The sequence below is a fragment of the Homo sapiens genome, chromosome 5 (genome assembly GCF_000001405.40).
Source record: "Homo sapiens chromosome 5, GRCh38.p14 Primary Assembly".
In the NCBI taxonomy this organism is placed as follows: domain Eukaryota; kingdom Metazoa; phylum Chordata; class Mammalia; order Primates; family Hominidae; genus Homo; species Homo sapiens.
The window spans coordinates 112,862,936-112,875,782 of NC_000005.10; the positions used below are offsets into that span (position 1 = coordinate 112,862,936).

Consider the following 12,847-nt stretch of genomic DNA (forward strand, 5'->3'; position numbering starts at 1 on the left):
TAGTTGAGATTTTTTTAAGTGTGTGAAGAAGACATGCAGAAAGTTCAGCCCTGTTGAGTTTTATTAAAGTGTCATTTGTATTTTGTAATATGACAGATTTAAGACACCTAGGTTTGATGCAGTGAATTCTCCCATGATGAGTACATCTGGGTGGTAACAAGCACTCAAAAAAGAAAACACTACAAGCATCCAGGAAGATTGCTTTATGTTCCCTCTCAGTCACTGTCGCCTCCGCATATGCTCAAAAATACCAGGATGACCACCGTTATGACTTCAACACCATAGATTACTTTTGCTGCTTTTTCAGTTTTCTGTAAATGGAATTACACACTATGTAATTTTGTATCTTTTTTTCACTGAACTTTAAGCTTTTGAGATTTACCTACATATTTGAATGTAGTTGAATTTTCATTGCTCTATAACAGGGTTTGTCAATAGCAGCACCATTGCCGATTTGAGCTAGATAATTGTTGTTGGGGGTTGTTCTGTGCATTTTAAGATGTTCAGCAGTATCCCTGGCCTCTACCCACTAGATGACAGGTCAGCCCCCTCCAGCCCCCCATCCCCTAGTTGTGACAATCAAAAATGTCTCCAAGCATTGCTAGATGTCTTTTGTGTGTGGGTAGGGGTAGGGAGGCTGAGGACAGAATTTCCCTGCTCAAAACTACTGCCCTGTCTCCTCTATAGTATCGCATGGTGTGAGTATGCCAAAGTCTTTTCTACCTTCTTTTTTGTTTGTTTTTTTAAGAGACAGGGTCTGGCTCTGTCACCCAGGCTGGAGTGCGGCAGTGTAGTCTCAGCGCACTGCAGGCTCCACCTCCTGGACTCAAGCCATCCTCCAACCTCAGCCTTCTGAGTAGCTGGGACTACAGGCACATGCCACCATGTCCGGCTACTTTGGTATTTTTTTGTAGCAATGAGATTTCTCCATGTTGTCCAGGCTTGTCTCAAACTCCTGAGCTGAAGTGATCTGCTGGGATTACAGGTGTGAGCCACCACACCTGGCCCTTTCTACTCTGGATGGAAAATTGGATTATTTCTATTAATAGTTTGAGGCTATTATAAATAGATGTTTTTTAGAGAACATATTTTTGCTTTTTTGTAGAACGCATCTGGGAATGGAATTGCAGGGCCATAGAGAATGCATATATTCAGCTTTAGTAGATACTAGCAGTTTTCTAAAGTGTTTGTATGTGTAATTGTTTAAGCAGTCAATAATCATTGAGCACCTACTATGTTGAGAGTACCATGCTAGGTGCTGGGGAATACACTGGTTAACAAAACAAAGCCCCTGCCCTCAGAAGTTTATGTTCTGTTGGAGGGGAGATGGGCACACAGTTACGCATTAGTGTTATTCCTAGGAATTTTTAAAATTACAATAGAAGCATCTGTACTTAATGAAAAAGGAAACCTAGGGTTTTGGTACTTGTTTGATTATAGTATTTGAAATTATTTACCCAACACTATGGCAGTGTCCACTTAAAGCACATATATTTAGTGTTTATGTTTTTAACTGTTCAGGCTGTTGAAAATCCTACAGCTACAGAGATTCAAGATGTATGTTCAGCAGTTGGACTTAACGTATTTCTTGAGGTATGACGTGGTTCTTCACTATTTTCCATACTCATCTAATTGATGTAATAACTTTCTTAAGTCCTGTTTTTCTTTTGTTTCGTTTATGTTAGAAAAATAAAATGTACTCTAGAGAATGGAATCGTGATGTCCAATACAGAGGCAGAGTCCGGGTCCAGCTCAAACAGGAAGATGGGAGCCTCTGCCTTGTACAGTTCCCATCACGTAAGCTTGTTTAAATGAATCAGTGGGGCTCAGGGATAGGTTTCTCCTACACAACACAAAAAAGGTTCTAAAACTGAAAGGTAAAAGTCAGAATTTGCATTCTGAAGATTAATTTAAAGACAGGACTACTGCTCATGGAGAGAAGCAGTAGTTCTAATTTCTTTGAGGTGAATGACCTCTTTGAAAATGTAATGAGACCCACTAAACATTTTTCAAAAAAATTGTTGTGTGAACATTTTATAAACCTCTGGAAGTCTGTCATTGCTCCCAGGTTAAGAATATAAAATTATTAAATCGTTGGATGTTAATTGCCATTTCAGATCCTAGAGGTCCTTGAGGTCTGTTAATATCTATAATATCTAATGATTCTATCATTAATAAATCTGAAAAGCAATATTGACTGAAAAAAGCAAGAGATATACATAGTGTGGTACCACTTAGGTAAATTTAAATACAAAATATTACTATTTATTGATAGATGCATATGTAATGTTGCTTATTGGCATTTTTTTGAAATGCTCTGTAAGGAAACACTCATTCTTAAGAGAGTAGTCACCTAATGGTGAGCGGGGTAGAGAGTAGAGACACGGGTTGATGGTCATAGAAGACTGTTGCATCATCTCTAGTGTTTTATTTTATGAAAAACAATAGCAAAACGACATCAATATAACAGAATGTTCTGAATATTAGGAAGATAAGTTTTTGTTTGCATGTTGTTTATTTTTCTGAATTTTCATCTCTGAAAATTTTAATTTTTTAAAACAGAGCTATTAATTTTTTCTTTCAGTTTAATAACCCCCTCAGTTTAATTAAACTGTCATTAAATTTACTTAAAAATAATGAAATCGTCAGACGAACTGACAGCTTGTTTGATTTTTTTTTTTTTTGAGATGGAGTCTCGCTCTGGCTGGAGTACAGTGGCGCGATCTCAGCTCACTGCAACCTCCGACTCCCTGGTTCAAGCGATTCTCCTGTCTCAGCCTCCCAAGTAGCTGGGACTACAGGCATGTGCCATCACACCCAGCTAACTTTTGTATTTTTGATAGAGATGGGGTTTCGCCATGTTGGCCAGAATGGTCTCGATCTCTTGACCTCGTGATCCACCCACCTCGGCCTCCCAAAGTGCTGGGATTACAGGCATAAGCCACTGCCCCCGGCCTGATTTTTTTAAAATAGAGAGACAAGGGTCTCACTGTGTTGCCCAGGCTAGTCTCAAACTCAAGCAATCTTCCCATCTTGGGGAGATCCCAAAATGCTGAGATTACAGGCGTTTGCCACCATGCCCAGCCTGCATGTTTGAACTTTTATTTTTAAAGACAAGGTCTCACTCTGTCATCGAGGTTGAGTGCAGTGGCACGATTATGGCACACTGCAGTCTTTTTTCTTTTTTTTTTTTTTTCTGAGACAGAGTTTTGCTCTTGTTGCCCAGGCTGCAGTGCAATGGCGTGATCTTGGCTCACCGCAACCTCCGCCTCCCGGGTTCAAGTGATTCTCCTGCCTCAGCCGTCTGAGTAGCTGGGATTTCAGGCATGAGCCACCAGACCCGGCTAATTTTGTATTTTTAGTAGAGATGGAGTTTCTCCATCTTGGTCAGGCTGGTCTCGAACTCTCGACCTCAGGTGATCCGCCCACCTTGGCCTCCCAGAATGTTGGGATTATAGGCGTGAGCCACTGCGCCCAGCCAACACACTGCAGTCTTGACCTCTTGGGCTCAAGCAACCCTCCTGCCTCAGCCTCCCAAGTAGCTGGGAATATCGGCACATGATTTTTTATTTTTTCTAGAGATGGGGTTTTGCTATGTTTCCTAAGCCAGTCTCAAACTCGTGGACACAAGTGATCCTCCTGCCTCAGCCTCCCAAAGAGCTGAGATTACAGACATGACCCACTGGGCTCAGCCTAAAATAGATTGTTTTTTATATACTAAAACCCATCAGGATTGGTAGGTATTGCTAGATGCTTCAGGTTGTGACTAAGGAGTGACATCATATTCTGATATGTTTTTTCTCCTTAACATTTTCCTATATTATATCTCAAAAGACCAAAAACAAACAAAAACTTGTAATTAACTAGTAGATAAAATAGGGGTAGAAGTTGTGGTGAGAACATGTCACTTCCTATTTCCAGTAAGACCCAAGTAAGATAGTAAAAAGAAAGCAGAGCTGAGGAACTTGGTCTGTTGGGGGTGAAGGTAGCTGGTTGTAGGTGTGCAGAGCAGGAATGCATGTAAGTGTAGATCATCTGATCTTACCCATCGGATCGCTTGTAACTTGATGATACTGTTTTTTTGTTGTAAGACTGAGAAAACCCTGTATTTCAGTGTCTTAAGATACAGTGATATTCTGACTCTGTTTCTACCTGAGGTATATTTGGATACATACTCCTTAGATCTTCAAGCTGATTACTAGGACCAAACCAAAATTTTTGTTTCATACTTAGTGTTTTGCCTTTTGATTTTATTCATTTAAATATTTTCAGCATTATTCTCACTCTCAGTACATTTCCCCCGACTTGAGCTAGTCAGTGTCTTCAGTCATTTGATTTTTGATTTTTTAAAAAAGTTATTTTCCATTTTCTTGATGTGATAGTTTCTTACACTTTGTGATATTCAATTTGATGACTTTTTATGTCTTATTTCTCAGATTATACACTAAGCCTAACTTCTGGTTCCTAGGTAAGTCAGTAATGTTGTATGCAGCAGAAATGATACCTAAACTAAAAACAAGGACACAAAAAACAGGAGGTGCTGACCAAAGTCTTCAACAAGGAGAGGGAAGTAAAAAAGGGAAAGGAAAGAAAAAGAAGTAACCTAGTATCAGCATCAAGTATGTGGTACTACTGTAAGAGACATGAATGGAGACTTCTAATTTGTATCGGAGGGAAACAGAAGCTTTTTGTTTGCATCATTTAACTGAACTGTGAACCCTTGTGCCTCTCATCTTTATCATCGGAGTTGACAGTGAAACAAATTTACATCAGAAGTTTGCATCTCGCGTATATGCCGTATAAAAGAATTTTTTTGTCTTTCAATGCAGTTTTTTGGAAGAAAATATTTTTAAATGGACAATGGACTGTACAATAAGTTACTTGAAATAAGTTGTTTCAGATAAATTTCAATTAGATTTAAAATAAACATTTTGTCCACCTTTTAAGTTAATGAAATAAAATTTGAAACTGACTTTTGCAGCTTTTGCTTATATACTAATGCTAGGAGAGGAGGGATAATTAAGAATAAAATATGTAGTGAAAGTTTCCATAGTGTGAGGCTAAAACTAGAAGAAACTGTGGTAGGTCCTTTTGTGGGTGGGGGACAGGGGAGTCTGTAAAAAGCCAGTCTGTAGATGATATTTTAATATATTATTGTAATCGAATCGTTCAGTTGTTTTTTGACATGGAAAGTCCTGGATTTTAAGCTTTAAATTTGCTTATTTTGTAGGTTTAAGAACATGATTTTCATGGGAGTTGTAAAATTAACTGTGCTTTAGCACCTTGAGGTACACTTTCCTTCAACAAATGAAATTGGATTGGTGCTCCAGAATTTCAGAGCGGTTTCTGAAAGTAGTGATTTTGAGCTATCCCAATTCCTGTTCTTCCTGAGGCCTGGTTTAGCTCTTCCTTGAATTCTGCAAGCTATCTCATATTTTCAGTAAATTCCATTTTTTTTAAGTTTGTTTGTTTGTTTGTTTTTGAGATGGAGTTTCACTCTTGTTGCCTAGGCTGGAGTGCAATGGCACGATATCGGCGTACCACAACCTCTGCATCCCAGGTTCAAGAGATTCTCCTGCCTCAGCCTCCCTAGGAGCTGGGATTACAGGCATGTGCCACCACACCCGGCTAATTTTGTATTTTTAGTAGAGACAGGGTTTTTCCATGTTGGTCAGGCTGGTCTCGAACTCCCGACCTCAGGTGATCTGCCCACCTCAGCCTCCCAAAGTGCTGGGATTACAGGCATGAGCCACCGTGCCCGGCCTTCTTTACATTTTTATTGCTCACAGTCAAACATTCCTATTGATTGTAAAATAAGCAAACCTAGAGTTGTGGAGATTTATATGTATTTATTTATTTGAATTGAGACAGGGTCTTAAACTCCCAGGCTCAAGTGATCCTCCTGCCTCAACCTCCCAAAGTGCTGGGATTACAGGCATGAGCTAGCTGGCCTGTTGACTTTTTTTTTTTAACTCTAACAATTTCTGTTTTATAGTGAACATAATAGTATAAGACTTAGTTTATATATTTGACTTACAAATAAATCCTGGGGAGAGGGGAGTATGTGTAAAACATAATTCAGAGCAGCCTTCTTTGAGAAAGTGGGTGTGTTTGGCTGTGTAACAAAACAATAAGGGGATGTGTTTGCTGTGTAACAAAACAATGAAGGATTTAAGCAGGATATTTTTGCCTCATATGTTAAATCCAAGTGAGGTTGCTGTGGTGGTTGGTTTAGCTCTCAGTGATGCCTTTTTTGTATTTTTCCGCTCTGCTGTCCATGACATATTTCTAACACCTTTATGATTATTGTTCCTGCTTGTAAAAGGGCTGATATTTACATGAGTGCAAGGCAGGAAGAAAAGGTAGCTGTGCCAGCCACTTCTGGCAAGCAGTTCTCCCACCTTAGCCTCCCAAGTAGCTGAGACCATAGGCATGAGATTTCTCAAAATTCCTCCCAGCAGGCTTTCACTTAGTTTCATTGTTGAGAACTGTGACAGGTCCATCTCTAGCTGCAAAGGAGGCTGAGAAAGTGAACACAGCAGTCCTCCTTATCCTTGGGGAATACATTCCAAGAGTGGATCCCTGAAACAGCAGATAGTACTGAACCCTATATATACTATGTTTTTGCCTATGTATATATACTTGATATGGTTTGGCTGCTACCCAACCCAAAATCTCATCTTGAATTATAATCCCCAAATCCCTATGTGTTAAGGGTGGGACCAGGTGGAGATAATTGGATCATGGGGGCAATTTCCCCTGTGCTGTTCTTGAGATAATGAGTGACTCTCAGGAGATCTGTTGGTTTTATAAGTGCCTGGCGTTTCCCCTGCTTGCAGTCACTCCATCTTGCTGCCCTGTGAAGGTGCCTGCTTCTCCTTGCCTTCTGCCATGATTGTAAGTTTCCTGAGGCCTTCCCAGCAATGCGGAACTGTGAGTCAGTTAAACCTGTTTCCTTTATAATTAATCAGTTTTGGATATTTCTTCATAGCAGTGTGAGAATGGATTAATACATACCTATGATAAAGTTTATAAATTGGACACAGTAACAGATTAACAATAAAATAGAACAATTATAATAATATACTATAATAAAATGTATGTGGAAATTGTCAGTCTCTCTCAAAATATTGTGCTATACTCACCTGTTTTGGGACCAAGGTAACTGAAACCACAGAAGTGAAACCACAGATGAGGGATGACTGCATAGCTTTTTCAGTCCTGACAGCCAAGGCAGCTAAGGAAGAAAGTAGTTGAGAATGCATACTGGGTCAGGTACAGTGGCTCACACCTATAATCGCGGCACATTGGGAGGCTGAGGCAGGAGGATCACTGAAGTCCAGGAAGTCGGGACCAACCTGGGCAACATAGTGAGACTGTCTCTACAAAAAAAAGAATTAGCTGGGCATGGTGGCACATGCCTATAGTCTTAGCTACTTGGGAGGCTGAGGTGGGAGGACTGCTTGAGCCCTGGAGGTGAGGCTGCAGTGAGCCGTGATCATGCTATTCCACTCACCTCAGCAGAGCTGGACCCTGTCTCAAAAAAAAAAACGTACTGTGGTAGCCAACTGAAAAGATTTGTCACAGAAAGATGGTTGAAATCTGGAAATGGTTTACTTTTGGGGCAATAAGGATTGTCAGTGCCATATTTTGGATGTCCCCTCCAAAATGCATGTTGAAATTTAATTGCCATTGTGATGTTATTGAGAGGTGGAACCTTTGGGAGGTGATTGGGCCATGGGGGCTGTGCCCTCAGGAATGGATTAATGTTACTATCTGAGGAGTGGGTTTGTTATAAAATGGAGTTCAGCCAAATTTTTCTTTTGCTCTCCTCAGCGCACCCTCTTTGTCCTCTCACCTTCCACCATGGGATCACACAGCATCAAAGACCCTTGCCATATACAGGTGCCATGCTTTTGGATTTCCCAGCTCCTAATCATGAGCCAAATACACATTGCCCAGGCTGGTGTGCAGCGGTGCGATCTCAGCTCACTGCAATATCTGCCGCCTGGTTTCAAGTGATTCTCCTGCCTCAGCCTCCCGAGTAGCTGGGATTACAAGTGCCTGCCACTGTACCCAGCTAATTTATGTAGTTTTTAGTAAAGATGGGGTTTCACCATGTTGGCCAGGCTGGTCTTGAACTCCTGACCTCATGATACACCACGCCCAGCCAATTTCTATTCGTTTTTTAAGATACCCAGTCTGTGGTGTTCTGTTGCAACAACATAAAACACTAAGATTTCAGAACTATTGCTGTAACAATATATTGCTGTTTCTTCACATTATTGCAATTGGTGCAATCAGTGAATTTTTTTTTTTTTTTTTTTTTTTTTTTGCCAGTTGTTAAGTGAAAACTGTAATCTTTTTAAAACAGGCCAAAAAATGTTTTTTTGAGACAGGTCTCTCTTTTTCACCCAGGCTAAAGTGCAGTGGCACAATCACGGCTCAGTGCAGCCTCAACCTCCCAGCCTCAAGTGATCCTCCCATCTCAGCCTCCTGAGTATAAAAGTTTGTAATTAAAAAAATTTTTTTTTAGAGGCCAGGTGTGGTGTGGCTCATGCCTGTAATCTCAGCACTTTGGGAGGCTGAGGCGGGCAGATGACTTGCAGTCAGGAGTTCGAGACCAGCCTGGCCAACATGGTGAAACCCTATCTCTACTAAAAATAACAAAAACTAGCCAGGCGTGGTGGTGGGCGCCTGTAATCCCAGCTACTCGGGAGGCTGAGGCAGGAGAATCACTTGAACCGTGGGAAATGGAGGTTGCAGTGAGCCAAAATTGTGCCACTGCACTCCAGCCTGGGTGACAGAGTGAAACTCCGTCTCAAAAAAAATTTTTTTAAGAGATGAGATCTCACTCAGGCTGTTCTTATACTCCTGGGCTCAAGCAATTCTCTCAAGTGGTTGGGACTAGAGGTACATGGCACCACACCTAGCTGAAAAAGGGAATCTTAATGAGACAGTTGAGTATTTATGTAGATGTTGAAGTGCTTTTCGTATTTATGAACTGAGTTCGCATCCTCTACTCACTTCTTAAGGAATCTGTTATCAGAATTATATATAATTTTAAAAGCCAGCTAGTTTTAATAGTGTGTTTCTGTTTTAGGCATTAACTTCCATTTGTAGAAGAAGAGGATTTAGTTTTTCTTCTCTACCATATGCTTGCATATTTCCTATCTTCCTAGCCTACCAATATATTTCATAATTTAACCACTATTCAGAGTTTACATTATACATTCTGTTCACAGCTCAGCCGTGTAGTACATTTGCTACTAAAAGTATGGTTGAAGGACCAGCAGCACTGGCCTCTGGTGAAAGATTGTGAAAAATGCAGTATCTCTGGCCCCAGCCCAGAATTCAGATGTGTTTAATGAGATCCCCAAATGATTCTTTTTTTTTTTTTTTTTTTTTTTGAGACAGAGTCTTATTCTTGTTGCCCAGGCTGGAGTGCAGTGGCACAATCTCAGCCCACTGCAACCTCTGCCTCCCGGGTTCAAGGGATTCTTCTGCCTCAGCCTCCCCAGTGGCTGGGATTACAGCCATGTGTTACCATGCCTAGCTAATTTTTGTATTTTTAGTAGAGATGGGGTTTCGCTGTGTTGGCCAGGCTGGTCTCCAACTCCTGGCCTCAAGTGATCCGCACACCTTGGCCTCCCAAAGTGCTGGGATTAGGTGTGAGCCATTGTGCCCGGCCTCATCATTTTAAAATCTTTTCTGTAGTCCTTTGCCTGGCTCTGATCTCTTACCCTTTAGACCTAGTGCACAACTTCACTCTGGGTTCTCACCATTGTCTGGAGTGACTCAAGCCACTGCTTTGCTGTTTTGGGGATATCTGTTGTGTATCCCGTGTATTCCTCTTTTTTATGTTACTGCTTTGTTTTGTATATCTTGTTCTCAGGATCTTCCCCAGAAAAGTGCAAGAGAGGTAAATGTTCTTAGACCTTGCATATTTGAAAATTTCATCATTCTACCCTTACATTGTTTGGCTGGATATAGAATTACCTTTGGAAGTCATTTTGTTTAAGGAATTCAAGGGAATTGCTTTTTGGTCTTCTGACCTCTTGTAGCTGAAGGGAAGTTGTAGCCATTCTAGTTTATTATCATGATCCTGGTTCCAGTATTCTGAAATATAACAGTTGTGTGCTTTGTGTGGGTCTTTTTTTTTTTTTTTTTGCCCATCGTGCTGGGCAGCTAAGTGGGTTTTCAGTCTGGGAATTTGTGTTTTCAGCTCTGGGAAAGTTTTTTGAAAATTTCATTGATAATTTTTCTCCTCTTTCTGACCTTTCTTGGTACTCTTTTATTTGACTATTAGACCTGCTGGTCTGATCCTCAGGTTTTCTTTTTTTTTTTTTTTTTTTTCTTTTTTGCCTTTATTTAGATTTGCTCAGCTTTATTTTCCAACCTTTCCTATTCTTTTTTTTTTTTTTTTTTTTAGATGGTGTTTCACACCGTCACCCAGACTGGAGTGCAGTGGCCCGATCTCGGCTCACCGCAACCTCTGCCTCCTGGGTTCAAGCGATTCTCCTGCCTCAGCCTCCCGAGTAGCTGGGATTACAGGCATGCGGCATCAAGCCTGGCTAATTTTTGTATTTTTAGTAGAGACGGGGTTTCTCCATGTTGGTCAGGCAGGTCTCAAACTCCTGACCTCAGGTGATCCACCTGCCTGGGCCTCCCAAAGTGCTGGGATTACGGGCATGAGCCACTGCACCCGGCCTTCTTTCTAACTTCTTTAAGCTCTTGTCATCTGCATGTTCCCTTTTTCTAGCATTCTATTCTCAGTTCATGGATGTAATTTATTTCTCAGAAGGTGAGATTTATAGTCTTATTGTTTCCAAGTTCCTTTTTTTCTTTCTGTTTTTATTTTGATCCCTATCATGTTAAGTAGCTTTGTTTCGGTTGCTGGTTTTTAAGATAGAAGGACCAAAAGGTTGATTATAAGTTGAGATCTGGCCTGGGTGCTGTGGCTCACACCTGTAATCTCAGCACTTTGGGAGGCTGAGGCAAGAAGATCACTTGAACCCAGGACTTCAAGACCAGCCTGGGCAACATAGGGAGACTCCCTCTCTACAAAAAAAAATAAAAAATTAGATGTGCCTGGTGGCACATACCTGTAGTTCTAGCTACTCTGGAGGCTGAGGCGGGAGAATAGCTTGAGCCCAGGAAATTGAGGCTGCAGAGAGTTGTGATCATGCCACTGCACTCCAGCCTGGGTGACAGAGTGAGTCCTTGTCTCAAAAAACAAAAAACCACAAAAGTTCAGAGTGGCAGGATATGGTGGCTCATGCTTGTAATCCCAGCACTTTGGGAGGCCAAGGCAGTGGATCACTTGAAAGCCCAGGAGTTTGAGACCAGCCTGGCTAACAAAGGAAGAGTCTTGTCCTCATTACTAGTTTCTACCAGTGGGTCTCAACCCTGGCTCCATACTAGGATCCATACTAGTATCATTACTAGTCTCTACCAGTGGGTCTCAACCCTGGCTCCATACTAGGATCACCTACAGAGTTGTTAAAGCATACTGGCACCTGGGTACCATGGTAGACTAATTAAATCAGCACTTTGTTAGTGGAGGCAGAGATCAATATTTTTGAAAAGGTCCTCAGATGATTCCATTGTGCAGCCAGGTCCGAAAACCTCTGTGTATTAAGATACAAAGATAGCATTTACCTAACCCAGTGGTTTTATCTCAAAGTGCAGTTCCTGGACCCAACATTGCCCGGGCTGTTTAATAATGAAGAACTTTCAGCCCCACCCCAGACTTCCTGAATCAGAATCTGAGAGGACAGTAATCTTTTTTAACAACACTCCTCTCCATCCCCATCCTCCATCAGTTCTGATGTGCGCCAATTTTTTTTTTTTTTTTTGAGACGGAGTTTCGCTCGTCTCCCAGGCTAGAGTGCAAATGGCGTGATCTCGGCTCACTGCAACCTCTGCCTCCTGGGTTCAAGCCATTCTCCTGCCTCAGCCTCCCAAGTAGCTGGGATTACAGGAATGCACCACCACACCCGGCTAATTTTTTTGTATTTAGGAGAGACAGGGTTTCACCATGTTGGCCAGGCTGGTCTCGAACTTCTGACCTCAGGTGATCCACCCACCTTGGCCTCCCAGAGTGCTGGGATTACAGGTGTGAACCACCGTGCCCGGCCCACACCAAAGTTTTTGGGAAGCATCGATCTAACCAAGGAAACTCTTAAATGTGTATGTTGTAAGATTTTAAGAGTTAATGTTCTAGCAGTGAGCCAGGAAAACTTTTAATATCCTCAAATATGTTTACTTTCCAGCCATGCTATATAGAACTGTAATCTTTGATGGGTAAAGATCTGAATTGTACCTGTGTTATTCTAAACACCATAATTCTAGACATGCAGACATCAAAAAGCAGATGTAGGTGACCGTGCGGACCAGCGCATACCTTCAGAAGTACGTTTTGTTTTTGTTTTTGGTTTTTTTTTTTTTTGAGACAGGGTCTGGCCCTGTCGCCCAGGCTGGAGTGCACTGGCACCGTCTTGGCTCACTGCAGCCTTGACCTCCCAGGCTCAAGTCCTCCCACCTCAGCCTCCTGAGGAGCTGGGACTACAGGTACGTTCCACCACACCTAGCTAATTTTTTGGTATTTTTTGTAGAGGCAGGGTCTCACCATGTGGCCCAGGCTAGTCTTGAACTCATGCACTCAAGCAATCCGCCCACCTCGGCTTCCCAAAGTGCTGGGATTACAGGTCCGCTAGGCCAGAAGTGGGTATTTTTATCAAAATTCTCAAGTACTCCTTTTCTTGATCTCTTCTGAAAACAAGTACAGCATAATTTGGAGGCACATGTAAAAAGTTTACTACATCAAAGCCAGGCGCGGTGGCTC

At 41.7% G+C, this 12,847-nt stretch overlaps 1 protein-coding gene across 5 annotated transcripts in view; it reads left to right on the top strand.

Annotated features, from left to right (window-relative positions):
* SRP19 (signal recognition particle 19) overlaps positions 1–12,847 on the top strand; it is a 37,085-nt gene that overhangs the window by 1,649 nt on the left and 22,589 nt on the right. For 2 of the 5 annotated variants that reach the window (NM_003135.3, NM_001204196.2), the window contains 3 exons: positions 1,522–1,593; positions 1,686–1,797; positions 4,469–6,853. In NM_003135.3, the coding sequence (NP_003126.1) occupies positions 1,522–1,593; positions 1,686–1,797; positions 4,469–4,602 (318 nt within the window). In that variant the 3' untranslated portion in view covers positions 4,603–6,853. Of the gene's footprint in view, positions 1–1,521; positions 1,594–1,685; positions 1,798–4,436; positions 6,854–12,847 lie in introns of those variants that run through there. The other 3 variants (NM_001204193.2, NM_001204199.2, NM_001204194.2) reach the window with 3 other exon arrangements.